At 45.3% G+C, this 18,025-nt stretch overlaps 1 protein-coding gene and 2 pseudogenes across 10 annotated transcripts in view, besides 9 other annotated features; 2 read left to right on the top strand and 1 right to left on the bottom strand.

Annotated features, from left to right (window-relative positions):
- TENT4B (terminal nucleotidyltransferase 4B) overlaps positions 1-14,185 on the bottom strand; it is an 82,400-nt gene extending 68,215 nt beyond the window's left edge. For 2 of the 10 annotated variants that reach the window (NM_001365323.2, XM_047434476.1), the window contains exons 1-2: positions 14,064-14,185; positions 12,837-13,447 (exon numbers count right to left, since the gene is read on the bottom strand). In NM_001365323.2, coding sequence (NP_001352252.1) covers positions 12,837-13,414 — 578 coding nt within the window. In that variant the 5' untranslated portion in view covers positions 13,415-13,447; positions 14,064-14,185. Of the gene's footprint in view, positions 1-12,836; positions 13,791-14,063 lie in introns of those variants that run through there. The other 8 variants (XM_011523275.4, XM_011523276.3, NM_001040284.3 and 5 more) reach the window with 4 other exon arrangements.
- Positions 11,171-11,230: an enhancer, noted in NCBI's record as "active region_10809". NCBI's record gives its function as "activates an Ori minimal core promoter by ATAC-STARR-seq in GM12878 lymphoblastoid cells {active_cell/tissue: GM12878}" and the evidence as "EXISTENCE:reporter gene assay evidence [ECO:0000049][PMID:35858748]".
- Positions 12,090-12,139: an enhancer, noted in NCBI's record as "active region_10808". NCBI's record gives its function as "activates an Ori minimal core promoter by ATAC-STARR-seq in GM12878 lymphoblastoid cells {active_cell/tissue: GM12878}" and the evidence as "EXISTENCE:reporter gene assay evidence [ECO:0000049][PMID:35858748]".
- Positions 12,951-13,120: a silencer, noted in NCBI's record as "silent region_7477". NCBI's record gives its function as "represses an Ori minimal core promoter by ATAC-STARR-seq in GM12878 lymphoblastoid cells {active_cell/tissue: GM12878}" and the evidence as "EXISTENCE:reporter gene assay evidence [ECO:0000049][PMID:35858748]".
- Positions 13,241-13,290: a silencer, noted in NCBI's record as "silent region_7476". NCBI's record gives its function as "represses an Ori minimal core promoter by ATAC-STARR-seq in GM12878 lymphoblastoid cells {active_cell/tissue: GM12878}" and the evidence as "EXISTENCE:reporter gene assay evidence [ECO:0000049][PMID:35858748]".
- Positions 13,471-13,570: a silencer, noted in NCBI's record as "silent region_7475". NCBI's record gives its function as "represses an Ori minimal core promoter by ATAC-STARR-seq in GM12878 lymphoblastoid cells {active_cell/tissue: GM12878}" and the evidence as "EXISTENCE:reporter gene assay evidence [ECO:0000049][PMID:35858748]".
- Positions 13,777-14,734: an enhancer, noted in NCBI's record as "H3K27ac hESC enhancer chr16:50186273-50187230 (GRCh37/hg19 assembly coordinates)". NCBI's record gives its function as "activates a minimal SCP1, AML or CMV promoter by ChIP-STARR-seq in naive H9 embryonic stem cells {active_cell/tissue: H9 hESC(naive)}" and the evidence as "EXISTENCE:reporter gene assay evidence [ECO:0000049][PMID:30033119]".
- Positions 13,801-13,960: a silencer, noted in NCBI's record as "silent region_7474". NCBI's record gives its function as "represses an Ori minimal core promoter by ATAC-STARR-seq in GM12878 lymphoblastoid cells {active_cell/tissue: GM12878}" and the evidence as "EXISTENCE:reporter gene assay evidence [ECO:0000049][PMID:35858748]".
- Positions 14,071-14,240: a silencer, noted in NCBI's record as "silent region_7473". NCBI's record gives its function as "represses an Ori minimal core promoter by ATAC-STARR-seq in GM12878 lymphoblastoid cells {active_cell/tissue: GM12878}" and the evidence as "EXISTENCE:reporter gene assay evidence [ECO:0000049][PMID:35858748]".
- Positions 14,461-14,550: a silencer, noted in NCBI's record as "silent region_7472". NCBI's record gives its function as "represses an Ori minimal core promoter by ATAC-STARR-seq in GM12878 lymphoblastoid cells {active_cell/tissue: GM12878}" and the evidence as "EXISTENCE:reporter gene assay evidence [ECO:0000049][PMID:35858748]".
- LOC124900375 (uncharacterized) lies at positions 15,365-15,454 on the top strand (annotated as a pseudogene).
- Positions 15,501-15,877, top strand: RPL10P14 (ribosomal protein L10 pseudogene 14; annotated as a pseudogene).

Genomic DNA, 18,025 nt, shown 5'->3' with positions numbered 1-18,025 from the left:
TGTTTTAGCTGGGCATGCTAGCGACATGCCTGCAGTCCTAGCTACTCAGGAAGATGAGTCGTGAGTACTGTTTGAGCCCAGGAGGGCAAAATGGCAGTGAACTATGATCACGCCACTGCACTCCAACCTGGGTGACAAAGTGAGGCCTCATCTTTAAAATAAAATAGGCCAGGCACAGTGGCTCATGCCTCTAATTCCAGCACTTTGGGAAGCTGAGATGGGCGGATTGCTTCAGCTCAGGAGTTTGAGACCAGCCTGGGCAATAAGGTGAGACTCTGTCTATACTAAAATACAAAAAAAAAAAAAAAAAAAAAATTAGCCAGGCATGGTGGCATGCGCCTGTGGTCCCAGCTGTGGGATGCTGACTGAGGTGGGAGGATCACTTGAGCCTGGGGTGGGGGCAGAGGTTGCAGTGAGTCAAGATGGCATCACTACACTCCAGCCTAGGTGACAGAGCAAGACCCTGTCTCAGTAAAATAAAATAAAGAACTCCTATAGCTCAACAATAAAAAGATAAATAACCCAATTTTAAAATAGTCAAAAGATTTGAATAGATATTTCTCCAACAAAGATGTGCACATGGCCAACAAGCTCATGTAAAGATATTCAACATTTTTAGTCACCACTAACAATCAAAATCACAAATGACACACTTACTTCATACCCACTAGATTGGCTATAATAAAGAAGACAGATAATAAAGAAAGTGCAGACTGGGTGCAGTGGCTCACGCCTGTAATCCCAGAACTCTGGGAGGCTAAGGCAGGTGGATCACTTGAAATCAGGAGTTCAAGACCAGCCTGACCAACATGGCAAAACCCTGTCTCTATAAAAAATACAAAAATTAGCCAGGCATGGTGACATGCGCCTGTAATCCCAGCTACTCGGGAGGCTGAGAGATACAAGAATTGCTTGAACCTGGGAGGTGGAGGTTGCAGTGAGCCAAGATCATGCTACTGCACTCCAGCCTGGGCAATAAAGCAAGACTTCACCTCAAAAAAAAAAAAAAAAAAAAGTGCTGTCAAGTATGTGGAGAAATTGGAAATTTCATTCACTGCTGGTAGAATATAAAATGTCACAGCCACTTTAAAAAATAATTTGGCAGTTCCTCAAAATGTTAAACAGAGAGTTAACTTAAGACCCAGGAATTCCTCACTTAAGTATATACCCAAGAAAAATGAAAACACGTTCACATAAAAACTTGTACATGAACGTCTACAGCAGTAATATTCATAACAGCCAAAAAATGGAAACAACCTAAATGTCCTTCTACAGGTGAATGGATAAACAAAATGTGGCATATACATGCAATAAAATATTCAGCCATAAAAAGGAATGAAGTACTGACACATGCTACGACACAGATAACCTTTGGAAACAGATAAGTTTGAGAAGCCAAGCACAAAAGGCCACAAACTGTTATGATTCCACTTATATGAAAGGTCCAGAGTAAACAAATCCACAGAGACAGAGAGTCTATATGTGACTGCCAGGGTTAGGGTGTGTGAGGGAGTGGGGAGTGATAATGGGTTCAGAGTTTCTTTCTGGGGTGATGAAAATGTTCTGGAATTAGTTGCGATGGTTGTACAACCTTCTAATATATGAAAACCACTGAACTGTACACTTTAAAAGGGTTAAATTTATGGTATGTGAATTACTATCTCAATAAAAATAAGTAGAAAAATAAAGGATAACCTTTTTTGCCTTTTAATTCTAATTTCATTACACGCATATTTTGCTGATAAAAAAGAAATAATGTCGTCTGGGGCAAAGGCTCAGCTTAATCCATGTCTGGTAAAAAAACAAAAGACTGGAAACAAAATGGTCAACAAGAAATTGGTAAGATAAATTAAGGTACATTAAATCAATGGAATATAACCAAAAAAAGACAAAAGAAAAAAAATAAATAAATGGAATATCACATACATATGTACTATGAATACAAGGTCATTCTAAAGGCAATGAGATATTAAAAATGGTATAGAAATATATTTGAAATGAAAAGATGTTTGTCATATTAGTAAAAAAAAAAAAAAATTTTTCAGACGAGGTCTCGCTCTGTCACCCAGGCTGGAGTGCAGTGGCATGAACTTAGCTCACTGCAACCTCTGCCTCTTGGTCTCAAGCGATCCTCCCAGCTAAGCCTCCCAAGTAGCTGGGACTTCAAGGGCACGCCATCACCATGCCTGGCTAATTTTTTTTTTTTGGTAGAGACGGAGTTTCACCATGTCACCCAAGCTGCTCTTGAACTCCTGGACTCAAGCGATCCACCTGCCTCAGCCTCCCAAAGTGCCAAGGTTACAGGCAGTTAATCCCAGGTGAGCCACCATGCCCAGCCCAGTAAAACCTTTTTTTTTAAGTCAAAAAAGTATATCCACAATATTCTGATGCCCTTCTCCCAAAGAAGAAAAAAAATTTAGATTGAAAACCAGTTCTAAGTTCTGGCCTCGACTGTAAGAGAATAAATTTCTTTTATTTAAACAACAACAGGCCAGGCGCAGTGGCTCACACCTGTAATCCCAGCACTTTGGGAGGCCGAGGCAGGTGGATCACGAGGTCAGGAGCTCAAGACTAGCCTGGCCAATATGGTGAAACCTCGTCTCCACTAAAAATACAAAAATTAGCCAGGTATGGTGGTGGGCGCCTGTAATCCCAGCTACTCGGGAGGCTGAGGCAGAAAATTGCTTGAACTTGGGTGGCGGGGCTTGCAGTGAGCCAAGATAGCGCCACTGCACTCCAGCCTGGGTGACAGAGGGAGACTTCATCTAAAAACAACAACAACAAAAGAACAACAACAAACAGGATGGGCTCACACCTGTAATCCCAATACTTTGGGATGCTGAGGTAGGAAGACTGCTTGAGACCACAAGTTCAAAACCAGCCAAAATGGTGAGATCCCATTTCTTTCTTTCTTTCTTTTTTATTTTTTATTTTTTTTGAGATGAAGTTTCACTCTTGCTGCCCAGGATGGAGTGCAATGGCACAATCTTTGCTCACTGCAACCTCCACCGGCCGGGTTCAAGTGATTCTCCTGCCTCAGCCTCCCAAGTAGCTGGAATTACAGGCACGTGCCACCACGCCCGGCTAATTTTGTATTTTTAGTAGAGAGGCGGTTTATCCATGTTGGTCAGGCTGGTCTCGAACTCCCGACCTCAGGTGATGCTCCTGCCTTGGCCTCCCAAAGTACTGGGATTACAGGCGTGAGCCATCGCACCCGGCGAGACCCCATTTCTATAAAATAAAATAAACAAATAAAACCCAACTCTTTAAAAACATTAAAATTATTCCCACAGTAAGAGTGCGTATTGATAAAAGAAAAACATAAAATATATATATATATAAAAACACTAAAAAGTCAAAAAATATTTACATCAAACTGTTAACAGAAATTATATCAGGCCGGGCGCGGTGGCTCATGCCTGTAATCCCAGTACTTTGGGAGGCCGAGGCAGGTGGATCACAAGATCAGGAGATCAAGACCATCCTGGCTAACACAGTGAAACCCCGTCTCTACTAAAAATACAAAAAATAAGCCGGGTGTGGTGGCGGGCGCCTGTAGTCCCAGCTACTCGGGAGGATGAGGCAGGAGAATGGCGTGAACCCAGGAGGCAGAGCTTGCAGTGAGCCGAGATGGTGGGCGACAGAGCGAGACTCCATCTCAAAAAAAAAAAAAAAAAAGAAATTATATCCTGGTAGTGATATTACAGGGGTTATTTTTCTTCCTTTATTTCAGCTATATTTAGGGACAGTAGTATAAACACCCCAAACAAACAAGAAAGTAAAGGGTGAATAACTTCAAAGAACAAGGACACTAAAATTTCCAAACTTATCACTAGTACTTTATTAAGTCCAAGTTCCTGGAAATTAGCCAAAAGTCACCTAATTATAGAATTAAAACACAATCCTATGTATTCTTATTCTTGCTTTGGCAGGAATGTACAATACCTGACAGTGCTAAGAGTTAAGTTACTTTCACAAAATCAAAACAGTGACTACAAAGGGCCAGTAAGGGAAAACTAAGGGACTAAGTCCCAATTCTCAGGTCACAAAGCTGTTTAGATAAAACAATTTATTCTAGGATAGATTTGAAGATCAAGTATCTATTCTATAGAGTCTAAAGGTATTATTCAGGTATAAAAATACTGTAAGAAAACTTTACCACCACCAACAACAAACCACTAACCACAGGTTTACTCCCTAAAATATAGCCAAGCCAACAGACTATAAAATATCCTCATATGAAAAGACAGGACTCTCAATTTTGAAATAAACCCCACAGTTTTACTTTTTTATGTTTTTAGAAAACGAGGCTAAAGATCTACTTCATGCTAGTAACTAGTTTCTAAGAAAAAGCAACATGTAAAGGAAACACTGAAAATTACTTCAAAGACAAAAAAAAGTTAAAATGTTACTGCTAAGAGTAAAACCAAAGAAAAACTGGAAAATTAAAGCCTTTCAAGTCACAATTTTAGAGATTTTTCATTGAGAAAGTTCAATACTGCCAAGATGTTTTAAAATAAAAAAAGTTAAGATTAGATGAGGCTATTTTTATTGATTAATATAAGGCAAAACAGGCTATCACTACACATATTAGAACCGCTCAAATAAAAAAGTGGTAACACTAAATGCTAGCAAGGATGCAGAGAAACTGGATATCTCATATATTGTTGATAGGAATATAAGAGGATATAGTCATTCTAGAAAATAAATAGTTCAGCAGTTTCTCTAAAAACCAAACATGCACTTACCATACAATCCAAACATTTGGGCATTTATTCCCCCAAAATGAAAACTTTATATTCACATAAAAATATTTATATACATGAATGTTTATAGCAGCTTTATTTGCAATAGCCAAAAAACTGGAAACCACCCTTCTGGTATGTCCTTCAATAAGTAAATGGTTAAACAAATTGTGTGGTTCAGCCATACTATGGACTACTACTCAATAGTAAAAAGAAATGAACTACTGATACATGCAGCAATTTGGATGGCTCTCAAAGGAAGTATGGTAAAAGAAAAAAAGCCAAAGTTACATTCTGTATGATTCCATTTATATAACATTCTCAAAATGGCAAAATTACAGAGATGCAAACAGATTAGTGGTTGCTGGAAGGGTGCGTGCGGCTATAAAGTGGTAGCATAGGGAGCCCTGAGGTGATGGAGTAGCTCTGTATATAGAACTATAGACTGTTACAGTGGCTATCCAGATCTACACATGATAAAATTGCATACAATTATATATATACACACACACACAAATACATGTGAAACTGGTGAAATCTAAAAAAGGCTTATGGATTGCAACGATGACAATTTCCTGGTTCTTGACATTAAATTATCGTTATGTGAGCTACTACCATTAGGTGAAACTTGGTGAAGGGAACATGGGCTCTGTACTATTTTTCACAACTTCCTATAAATCTGTAATTATTTCAAAATAGAAAGTAAAAAAATTAGTAGGGCTATGTATGAGGAGGTTAATATAATAACAAATGGAAAAGGTTTAGCATAGCATTTGAAACACGGTAATAAAGGCTTCCATTTTATTGAAACTTTTATTACATTAATTTGAAAACACAGGTTTCCGCACTAAATATATACAACTATTTCAGCAAAAAGCATGACTTGAGCTAGAATTCCTTAATTTAATTACCAAATACTATGTGAAATCTCTTGTGCACATGGTTAAGATTGTTTTAAGACTTAAAATTGTCCAAGTGAATAGGGAACCAGTACACAACATAAATGGCTCAACATTCAGCTTTTTTCCCAAAAATCTTTAACTCAAATGTCTTTTTACATCATCAAGTAACTTATCAGATGGAAATAAATGTATCATCTGCTGTGTGATTCCAAATTAAGGAAAGTCTAACTCAAAGCCATCCTCAACTTGAATATATATAATCTCTTACAAAAAAACAATTACGTGTAATCTTAAGAATAGTGAAACAAACTCAAAGCCTTTTTGGCATTCCACAGCAGCTGAGTCCCTACCAAATATTCTGGGGTGGAAAGAACATTCTACTGGCCATCCTCTGAATTCCTCAGCAGACTCTAGGCTGTCCAGTCAGCTCTGTAGGAAACAGCAAATACCAGGTGCTGGTAACTAGTCTCTAATTCTTCAAAAAAGCATTATCTTTGGCCTACAGCCCCTTCAAGATTACTCTATACCTATGTGTGTGTAAGTGATTAATACAGTCTCTAGTGTTGTGGGTGTGATCCTGAAATAGTTTCCACCACTAAATGTTACTCTTAACAGAGTCAACAAAAGAGAGAATAGAAAGCTGTGTGAAATCATACAAAAGCTTGATTTTCTACTTTCCACAGGAAAAAAAATTACTTTAATTTTCTCAGCTTCAGCAGGTGCAAGAATATCTAACCACTGCCATGACGTCTATACCCTTCCTGTGATATTCAGTATACAGGTTATCTGAGAACAAGTGAGAACCATCTGATCAGTTCCGTATCACCAACGGAGCCCTTAAATTCTGTTCCCATGGACCCTTCTGTACTTCTAACACTATGATTTGTTGGCAGGAATTTCACGGAAGAAATTGAGATGTAAGGCCATCTGGCATGCCAGGATCAGAATTTTTCTAATACACACCCCCGTTCCTGACTTAGAATTTTCTAGTATCCCTTTCCCATCCTATCTTTCCTGTAATGTAGTAAGCCTTTTGTGTGACCACTGGGTAGACAGACTCCAAAAAGTCACTCACCGTTTCCTTTGCTTTTCAATAGTTAAAACTTTATGAGTGTTAAAAAAGAGTCCACAAAGACGAAGGGGGAAAAAAAAAGTCCAAACACTGAAATGCCAATGATTAATGGTGACAGTATTCAATGATCACAGATTTTGGATAAAAGATGGAAGTTGTGGAATGAAAGTTAAGTTAGCGGCCGGGCGCAGTGGCTCATGTCTGTAATCCTAGCACTGTGGGAGGCCAAGGCAGGCAGATCATTTGAGTCAGGAGTCCAAGACCAGCCTGGCCAACACGGCGAAACCCCGTCTCTACTAAAAATACAAAAATTAGCCGGTGTGGTGGCGGGTGCCTGTAATCCCAGCTACTCAGGAGGCTGAGGCAGGAAAATCACTTGAACCCAGGAGTGTTGAAGTTGCAGTAAGCCAAGATCACGCCACTGCACTCCAGCCTGGGTGGCATAGCAAGACTCCGTCTCAAAAAACAAAAACAAAACAAAACAAAAAAAACAAAGAAAGTTAAGTTAGTTGAACACAGTATACTAAATTTTGAGACATTCTTAAATATGAATTATATTGTTAGTGTACAATCTACACTATAGAAAACCTAATGTCTTCTTAAAAGCGCATGTCAGTACCCAAATCAGTAAAATTCAATAACCTGAAGGTTCTAGTTCACTAAGAATTACTGTGGGCTATATCTGCAAATGCACAGAAATTAAATAGAGCACAAATCACTTGGAAAAAGGCCTCTAAATTCTTTCATATTCAATCTACTTTAATCTGTCTGATTGCTTTGGAGCCCAGCAGTAACACCAATCTCATTGGTAACACTGTGTAGAAATAAGCAGAGAGAGGCCGGGCGCGGTGGCTCATGCCTGTAATCCCAGCACTTTGGGCGGCCGAGGCAGGTAGATCACCTGATGTTGGGAGTTTGACACCAGCCTGACCAACATGGAGAAACCCCATCTCTACTAAAGATACAAAATTAGGCATGGTGGCACATGCCTGTAATCCCAGCTACTTGGGAGGCTGAGGCAGGAGAATTGCTTGAACCCGGGAGTCAGAGGTTGCAATGAGCCAAGATCGCGCCACTGCACTCCAACCTGGGCAACACAAGTGAAACTCCGTCTAAAAAAAAAAAAAAAACAGAAAGAGAGAGAGAGGGAGGGAGCGAGAGCGAGAGAGAGAGAGAAAGAGAAGCAGATATAAGCCCTAATGCAGTGCTGAAAAAAGGCATGAACATCTTGGGCTTACTATGACATGATGAACAATGGGCACTAGAGGATGGCACATACAAGAGGATACTGCCCTACGGCAGTGAAGAGCACTACATCTCAGCCCTCCAAATCTCAGCTCCCCACTAGCAGGTCCACCTATACATCCCCCTACTATCTTCTTACCCAAACCAATAGTCCTTCTGGCCCTTATTTCCAAAAACACCACAAATATTTCCCCAGTCACTCAAGTTCAAAGCTACAGTGTGATTATTAAATCCACTTAAGGAATCTGAATCATCTCCATCCTTACCCTGTAATACCTCTCACATTCATTCTCCCTTCACATCCCCATTCCCACCATCCTAGTTTAAGAAATTGTACCTTAAACCCAAGTTTCCCAACAAGGTCTTGATGTCCCCACAGCCAAATTTGTACTCCAAAACATTGTTTTGAACAAGTCATCCAAGCCTTAAAAAAGCATCTACAGATCTGGCAGTACAGCCAACAGAAACCTATCATGAGCTTGGACAAACACCAAGCACCTTCCAGAAGAAGTTTCTGGACCCAGGGCTCAAGACCAAGTTCTGCAAATTCCCTGTATTTGCTACTTCTTGCCATCCCCTCTTTCTCCATAGTGATAAACAATTAAGTCTTTCAAAAGAAAAGGGTTTATGGCTCGTTTTCATGGACAAGCAGCAGCAGGTGGACAGCATCCTAAACCATGGCCAGTTCTGGAGGGGAGCAAAGCCCAAGAGAATCAGTGGAAGCAACTTAAAACATAAAAGGCCAGGCCAGGCATGGTGGCTCATGCCTGTAATCCTGACACTTTGGGAAGCCAAGGTGGGCAGATCACTTGAGGTCAGAAGTTCGAAACCAGTCTGGCCAACATGGTGAGACCCCATCTCTACTAAAAATACAAAAATTACCTGGGCATGGTGGCGGGCGCCTGTAATCCCAGTTACTCGGGAGGCTGAGGCAGGAGAATTGCTCGAACCTGGGAGACGGAGGTTGCAGTGGGCCAAGATTGTGCCACCACACTCCAGCCTGGGCAAGAGAGCAAGACTCCCTCTCATTAATTCATTCATTCATTCATAATTAAATAAATAAATAAGGCCAGGCATGGTGGCTCACACCTGTAATCCCAACATTTTGCTAGGCGGAGGCGGGAGGATCACTTGGACCAGGAGTTGGAGACCTTCATGGGCAACATGACAAGACCCCATCTTTACAAAAAAAACCAAAATGAGCCAGGCATGGTGGCACTCGCCTGTAGTCCCAACTACTCAGGAGGCTGAGGTGGGAAGTTCACTTCAGCCTGGGAGGCCAAGGCTGCTGTGACCCATGATTATGACACTGCACTCCAGCCTGAGCGACAGAGCAAGACCCTGTCTCAAAAAAAATTAAAAAAATAAATTTAGGCCAGGCACAGTGGCTCACACCTGTAATCCCAGCACACTGGGAGGCCAAGGCATGTGGATGGCTTGAGCCCAGGCAAAGGCTGCAGTGAGCCGAGATCACACCACTGCACTCCAGCCTGGGCAACAGAGCGAGACCCTGTCTCCATAAAATTAAATTAAAATTTAAAAATAATAAAACACAAAATAAAAAAATGTTTTAAAAAGCAAACAAAATCCCTGGTCTGTGGGTACATGAAGAAGTCTGAGATGATGAGCTCAAGAGTTTTATTTTGAAGACTTTAGGATGAAATCCAATATCTTACTCTACATATTAAAGAAATGTCCATGTCATGTGTAAGAGGGAACACATAATAAAAGGAAAGTTAAACATAAGTGGGCTATACCAAGAGCATGAAGTGAGTACCTTTGAGAGTTCAGAGGAGAAACCAAAAACATCAAGGACTTAGGCAATGCAAGAGGTCAGCATTCTAAATAAATCAACCAATTTGGTGGAAGCAGAGAACACAAAAGACAGCTGCGAGAGACTATATAGCTGTCCCATGGTTCTAGTCCATTTTCACATGCTTTCTGGTCTCCTCTCCCCATCTGGACTATCAGTTCAGAGGCCAAGAACCACCACAATGTGTTAACCTATTAGCTAACTATCAGTCACATCTTAAGAATTCAGAAAACAATGGTAACAGTTTTAGTATATTTAATCTCAGAACAGCATAACATCGAGGTGCACTCTGAATTCAGATTTTTTTAAATACCTATATTAAAAATAGAAAAACTTTCTAAAGTTAAGAAATAAGGATACTGGCGAGAATGGTGGCTCATGCCTATAATCCCAGCACTCTGTGAGGCCAAGGTGGGAGGACTGCTTGAGGCCGGTTGAAGACCAGCCTAGGCAACAAATGGAGGCCCCATCTCTACAAAAAGTAAAAATAAAAAAATTAGGCAGGTGTGGTGACATGTGCCTGTAGTCCCAGCTACTCCAGGAAGCTAAGGCAGGAGGATCACTTGAGCCCAAGAGTTAGAGGATACAGTGAGCTATGATCACGTCACTCCACTCCAGCCTAGGCAGCAGAGTGAGACCCAGTCTCAAAAGAAAAAAAAGAAATCAGGATAATGAGGCCGGGCACGGTGGCTCATGCCTGTAATCCCAGTCCTTTGGGAGGCCAAGACGGGCAGATCACCTGAGGTCAGGAGTTCGAGACCAGCCTGACCAACATGAAGAAACCCCGTCTCTACTAAAAATAAAAAATTAGCCAGGCGTGGTGGCAAGCGCCTGTAATCCCAGCTACTCGGGAGGCTGAGGCAGCAGAATCGCTTGAACCTGGGAGGCAGAGGTTGCGGTGAGCTGAGATCGAGCCACTGCACTCCAGCCTGGGCAACAAGAGCGAAACTCCGTCTCAAAAAAAAAAAAAAAATCAGAATACATGAATCAAAGCAAGAATTTCTAAGCACCCAGACACTCTTAACACTCTTGGGAATTGTTTAATGTATTTTTTGAAACTAGGAGGTCTCAGAATTGAACTTTTTTTAATTTAAAAAAAAAATTAACTGCTGACATCCTCTAAGGGAGGAGGCAAAAGAATGGAAAATCTGGTGAAGTGATAAGCAGTTTTTAAAGAGGTTTACAACCAGTTTTTAAACAGTAATCCCTCCGGGAAATGAAAATTCCTCTCCTAATCCCTTTGAGGGCAATATATTTGAATCAGGAACAAGAACATCTTGCTTCTAAGTATAAATATGAACCTTTTAGAGTATCTTCTGCATTAAATAGCAAGTAGAGGAGAGGACAATTTCTAATTTATCAAAAAAAAAATAAGCATCTTGGACTTATATCTTTTGCTAGACACATGCAAAGAGGCTTCAGTAAAATGCAATTAAGGAACTTCAAGGTTTTCGTTGACAGTGATTACCTAACTGGAGCTTACTCCTGTGAAATGAAACTACCAGAAACCCTCAACATCAATTTGCTTGTCACTAAACCACAGGTTTACGCGTAGACTTGGAAATGCTAACAGGATGGAACCACAAGCCTTTAATAAAACGTGATGACCATGGAGAGCACCCTTGAAGCTTAGCAACAGAGGACTCAACCCTAAAAGGGTTCCCTTTCTGGAATGTGAGGGCAGGTTTGACATGTACCACAGCACCAGTCCTAGAACGCTTGACTGCATTTTCCACAAAAGGTAGGAGTTGTAATAGTAGCATAGAGCAGACACCAGCCCACTGGAAGCAGATGGAACCCACCAACTCATTTTATCCAGACCTTCAAAAAGGTACACAGAACTCTCTCTCTCAGCCAAAGCAGGGCAGATCTGAATGAATAAATCCAGGAAAAGGTTCACATGGGATTACTAATTGGTAATTTCATTTGCATGCTAAAGCCCTCAATGTAAAACACAACCTGAAAAATGAAAAGCAATTTGAAAGCCGGTTCTCCATACTCAAGCTACACACACACACACACACACACACACACACACACACACACCCACGAGACCCAAAAGCTTTGTTTTACAAAACAAATAAGATTCAGTGACCTATTCCAGCACAGGGACTCTTCTGAAGGGAGATCTAGTTGGAAACATTCCCTGCTTATGTACATAATTCACTAGGGGTCAGGTAAGATTCCATTTTCTAAGAGCTGAACTTTAAACAGAAAGTCACTAGTGGTGCAATATTCACTCATTAGCATAAATCTCTACCCCCTAGAATGAAAAGCATTGGCTGCCTCTGCCAGGATGACAACTTTACAGTGAGAAGCTGGAGCCGCGGACCATGAACTCCTGGAAAGTTCTATCAGGGCCTCAGAAGGGCTCACCACCTTCACCAGCCTAAACTTAGTGGTCACCCATCCCACGCCACCCTCTGCATAGACAGGGCATCTGTGACATGGGAATTTTTTAAAAATAAAAAGATGGGCCAAAGGGTCAAGAGCAGGCAATGCCTTACAGGGCTGACATAATTGCTGTCTGGGATTGGGGGATGGGGAGGAGCATTCTGGATGTTTCTATTCTTGGCAAGGAAAGCACCTCCGGGTCCTGCACCATCAAAAAACACTCACACACCAATGTTCTCAGGGAATGAATGATAGGCCCGTGCTAAGCGGTCTCATCTTGAGTTGTGATGATGGGGAAAAAGGTGTGGAGGGCTGGAGGCGGGGTGGTGGTCAAGGGTAGATGTGTTTAACTAAGGGGGATGGGAGGAGAGTGAATGGATAAAGGGGGGGGCCTGGGGAAGGTGTGGACGGTTAAGAGGGAGGGGAGGAAGGTGTGGACGACTAAGGGAGGACAGGAGACGGAGGGTGTGGACGGCTAAGGAGGCTTGGGGAAAGGTGTGAACGACTGGGGGGTTGGGGATGGCCAGCAGCACCCCCGTGCAACAGCAGCGAAGGCAGGCCGTGGGGGTGGCCGCTCCTAGACCCTCACAACCCCCCTCTGTGGGCGTGTGCCCGGCTGCGCATTCGCACCGGCCAGGCCATCGGGCCGCAGAGCCAGCACTCACCCCACGACTCCCTGGTTGTAGTTCCTCCGTTTCCACGGGGTCCCGCTGTACACGACCCCGCCGCCGTCTGCTCGGCCGCCCCCCGCGGCCCGCCCTCCGCTGGGCTGCAGCAGGCTGTAGTTGAGTCCATACGTGCTGGCCTTGTTGTCGCGCTTCCTCTTGTTGCTGCTGCCCGAGGCCGAATCGGCTGGATCGGCGGCGGGGACGGCGGCCGAAGGGTGCGGGGACGAGGACGCCGAGGGAGGCGAGGACGCCGAGGAGCCCGCCCGGCGGGCCCAGGCCCCGGGCTGGTGGTGGTTGTTGTTGTTGTTGGTCGTCTCTAGGGGCAGGAAGTCCCGCTGCTCCGCGGGCAGCGCGTGGCTGCCCAGCAGGCGCTCCCCGGAGCGATACATGCCGGCCGGGGCCGGGGCCGGGGCCGAGGCCGCGCCGCCGGGGCTGCCGGTGCTGCTGCCGCTCCCGCCGGTGGCCGTGCTGCTGCTGCTGCTGCTGCCGCCGCCGCCGCTCGCGCCGCCGCTGCTGTGACAGTGGTGGTTGAAGTAGAGGTTCCTCAGCCCCTGGGTCGTCTCCCAGATCTGCATCCACAGACTGTTGGACGGTCCGAGCTGCTCTGGCTGAAACCAGGCGATCCTCGGATCCATCAAACGGCGGCGGCCGCTGCCCCCGCCCCTCCCGGCCGCCCGCAGGGCCGCCGCCGCCGCCGCCTCAGGCGCACGCCCGGCCTCGGCTGCTGCTGCTGCTGCCGCTGCTGCCGCTGCTGCTGCTGCTGCTGCTCGGGGCCCGCCGCGGGCGGCGCGGTCGCGCAGGGAGCCCGGCCGGCGCCGGCGGCGTCGCTCCCGCCCTCGGGGGCTCCGCGGGCCCTCCCCCCCTCCCTCCGCCCCTCCGCCCCTCCGCCGAGCCCCTGTCACTGGGGTCCCCGTGCAAATGGCGGCGGCGGCGGCGGCGGCTCCACAGAAGAGCGAGCGGCGGCGGCGGCAGCGGCGGCAGCGAGACGCGCCTGCTCCGTAGCGTCCTCGCTCCTCCGGCCCCGGGGCGGGGCCTCTGCCGGCTCCGCCCCTCTCGCTCCGCCCCCCCCCCCCACCGCCCCGCCCTCACGCGCTCGCCCCGCCCCCGCTGCGCCGCGCAGCAGCCCGGGAGGCCTCGCCGTGCGTCACAGAGGCCGCGGCGCGACGGGGCCGCAACCGCCTGGCCCAACCGTACTTGCGCCATCTGTGGAGTGCTCCCACGTACCTGGGCGTCCGGGAGCTTCTGAGGCGCGCGCGGCTTCTCCGCCTCGGCTTCCCCGGTGCTGAGCGTGGACGAGGCCGCATGGAGGTTGCCGCCCGCCCCGCAGGGAGCGCGTTGTGGGAGGTGCCACTCCGCCCCTCGCTCCTCGCCCCTCCCATCCCTGTGGCCGCCGGATCCCGGGCCCTCGCAACCCTTCCTGACGTCTTGGCTTCTGCCTGCTTTCTAAAACACTTTCTTTTTAAAAAAAAAAAAAAAAAAAAAAACAGCCTATAACACTTTTTCTGGTGGCGTGGGGACACGCCCCCTGCCCGAGCGTGTGCCCCGGGGTCCTGACGCGGGCTGCGCGAGACCCTGCACGGCTACGTGTGCCCCGCCCTGCTGCGCCCTGGCCGGGGTGGGGGACCCCTCACCCCGGCCTGAGGCCACAGAAACCTGTACCCCATGCATAGCCCTGGGGGAGACCACTAAGACTGAGAGTGTGAGCCAAGGGCGGAAAGCCGCAGCCGCACACTCAACCCACTTTACAGGGACACGCAAACACGTGTAGATGCACAGAGAAGCAGACACACTCCTGCGCGGCGTAGCAAAGACGCTCTCCTGCCCTAAGGTGCACCAACAGCCTTAGAAAGCTCTTCTGAGTTCAGCATTAAATTTTAAGAAAACCCAAAACCTTTTAATCCTAAAATGAAGATTTAGCATCAGCAAAGATTGTCCACTAGGTCGTTATTTGCATGTCTTTCAAATCTCAGTGGTTAAAAAGCCAAGGAAAGGGGAATGTTAAGTATTTTAAATCAAGAGACTAAAAGAAAGTAAGTGAACAGCTTCTATGTGGGCCCTTTAAGGTTGGTCCAACGTCCAGAACAAGTCCCTGATGCCTGATATTGGCCTTCCATTTTGGGAGCTCAATATCCTGGAAAGTTTTTATGACAAATAGTGGAAAACTATCAAAGAACTAAGTGTCGCTCTACCTTTTTCTTTCTTTCGAGACTAACTCTTGCTCTGTCATCTGGAGTTCAGTGACTCATTCACAGCTCACTGCAGGCTCGGCCTCTTGGGTTCAAGCGATCCTCTTGCCCCAGCCTCCGAGTAGCTAGGACTATAGGCACGCGTCAACATGGCATAGAGACGAAGTTGCTCTGCGCTGCCCAGGCTGGTCTGGAACTCCTGGACTTAAGCGATCCTCCTACCTCAGACTCCAAAACTGCTGGGATTACAAGGGGGTGAGCCACCACGCCTGACCTTACTTTTTTTTTTTTTTTTGGTAAGAGAATAAATAGCACGACCAGAAATACGGAAAACACACAAAGACCCTTCAGCTGCAAACAACAGCTTCCTTGGTAGTTTATGCAGCCTGTTTCTTGTATGGGCTGCTCTAAGGGACCATGGAGACAGGCCTTTCAGATGTATGTTCATGTCTTTGACCTTGCACTACGCCAATGTAGGCTCCAGGCAGATATTCGAGGTGCCTTTGAAAAGCTCCAGGGCACTGTGGCCAGGGTTCACATTGGCCAAGTTATCATGTCCATCTGCAACAAGCTGCAGAATAAGGAGCATGTGATTGAATCCCTGCTCAGGGCCAAGTTCAAGTTCCCTGGCTGCCAGAAGATCCACATTTCAAAGAAGTGGGGCTTCACCAAGTTCACTGCGGATGAATTTGAAGACATGGTGGCTGAAAAGCGGCTCATCGCAGATGACTGTGGGGTCAAGTACATCCCCATCATGGCCCTCTGGACAAGTGGCGTGCCCTGCCCTCGTGAGGGCTTCCACTGTGCTGCCCCCTCTTAATACTCCCCAGTAAATCCTACTTCCTGTCCACCAAAAACAAACAAAAAAAACCCTTCGGAATTTTGATTCATTCAATTTGATTGTTGCTGTTGCTTTACTAGAAATCAGTATTAAAAGTTTTCTCTGTCCGGGGGCGGTTGCTCACACTTGTAATCCCAGCGTTTTGGGAAGTCAAGGCAGGCAGATCACCTGAGGTCGGGAGTTCGAGACCAGCCTGACCAACACGGAAAAACCCCATCTCTACTAAAAATACAAAATTAGCCGGGTGTGGTGGCGCATGCCTGTAATCCCAGCTACTTAGGAGGTTGAGGCAGGAGAATCACATGAACCCAGGAGGTGGAGGTTGTGGTGAGCCGAGATCTCGCCATTGCACTCCAGCCTGGGTGACAGAGCGAGACTCCATCTCAAAAAAAAAAAAAAAAAAAAGTTTTCCCTGAATGAAATTTGCTATGTACTAATTATTACATAGCCAGGAAAATAAGTAGCCGTATTTTTTGTGTTATTTACACTGACAAAAATAAAACATTGTATAGAAATAGATTTTGTTTGCTGACCTCATATTTGTTTTAAAAATTGAATCTCTGGCCGGGCGTGGTGACTCACACCTGTAATCCCAACATTTTGGGAGGCTGACGCGGGCAGATCATGAGCTCAGGAGTTCCCGAGACCAGCCTGGCCAATGTGGTGAAACCCCGTCTCTACTAAAAATACAAAAAATTAGCCGGGTGTGGTGGCACATGCCTGTAATCCCAGCTACTTGGAAGGCTGAGGCAGGAGAATCATTTGAACCTTGGAGGCAGAGGTTTTGGTGCGCCGAGATCGCGTCATTGCACTCCAGCCTAGGTGACACAGTGAGACTCTGTCTCAAAAAAAAAAAATTATATATATATATATCTATCTCTCTCTCTCTCTCAGCAGGATGCAGTGGCTCATGCCTGTAATCCCAGCACTTTGGAAGACTGAGGTGAGAGGATTACTTGAAGCCAGGAGTTTGAGAACAGCCTAGGCAACATGGTGAGACCTCTGTCTCTACAAAAAATTTAAAAATGAGCTGGGCCTTTTCCTTTAACGTAGGATCAAGGTAATAAAAAAGAAAAAAATATTCAACATGAAATTTGGAGGAGACAGATATCCAAACTATTATCAGATGCTAATTCATCAGTTACACCATAGTAATATCCTAAGTATGTTAAGTAAAAGGCTTTCTTCAGCAAAGTATCAGAGATACATTTGATTTACATACTTTTGTAAACTCTGTCTTCTCAGGATGCTGGGTACTTAAGATCCATGCTTTCAGGCCAAGTGTGGTGGCTCACGCCTGTAATCCCAGCAATTCGGGAGGCTGAGGCAGGCAGATCGCTTGAGGTCAGTAGTTTGAGACCAGCCTGGCCAACATGGTGAAACTCCATCTCTACTTAAAAAAAGAAATTAGCCGGGCATGGTGGCCCACATCTCTAAGGCCAGTTACTCAGGAGGCTGAGGTGGGAGAATCACTTGAACTTGGGAGGCAGAGGTTACAGTGAGCCGAGATCGTGCCACTGCACTCCAGCCTGGGCGACAGAGCTAGACTCCGTCTCAATAAATAAATAAATAAATAAATAAAATTAGCTGTGCTTGGTGGCGAGTGCCTGTGGTCCCAACTACTCGGGAGGCTGAGGTGGGAGTATGGCTTGAGCACAGGAGGTCGAGGCTACAGTGAGCCATGTTTGTGACACTGCACTCCAGCCTGAGTGAGATCCTGTCTTAAAAATAAAAATAAAAATGACCAGGCGCAGTGGCTCATGCCTGTAATCCCAGTACTTTGGGAGGCTGAGGCAGGAAGATCACTTGAGCCCAGAAGTTCAAGACCAGCCTGGGCAACACAGCGAGATTTTTGTCTCAAAAGAGAAGAAAAGGAAATAAAACTAAAAAATTTAAATATATTTTCTTAAACCCTGCTTGAAAAAAAAAAATTCAGGAGAGGCATGGTGGATTACACCTATAATCCCAGTGCTTTGGGAGGTTTAGGCCGGAAGGTGGCTTGAGGCTTGGAGTTTGAGACCAGTCTGGGCAATATAGCAAGACCCTGCCTGTAAAAATAATAATAATAATAGTAATAATAATAAAATTTTTAAATTCAATCTCAAGACATAAGGTCAGGAAAACATTTTTCTTTTTAATTCAAATAAGAACAATGGAAA

Source organism: Homo sapiens, chromosome 16 (genome assembly GCF_000001405.40).
Source record: "Homo sapiens chromosome 16, GRCh38.p14 Primary Assembly".
NCBI lineage: Eukaryota > Metazoa > Chordata > Mammalia > Primates > Hominidae > Homo > Homo sapiens.
Note: the sequence above shows the minus strand (reverse complement) of the source record. Positions and strands in the feature narration are given on the sequence as shown.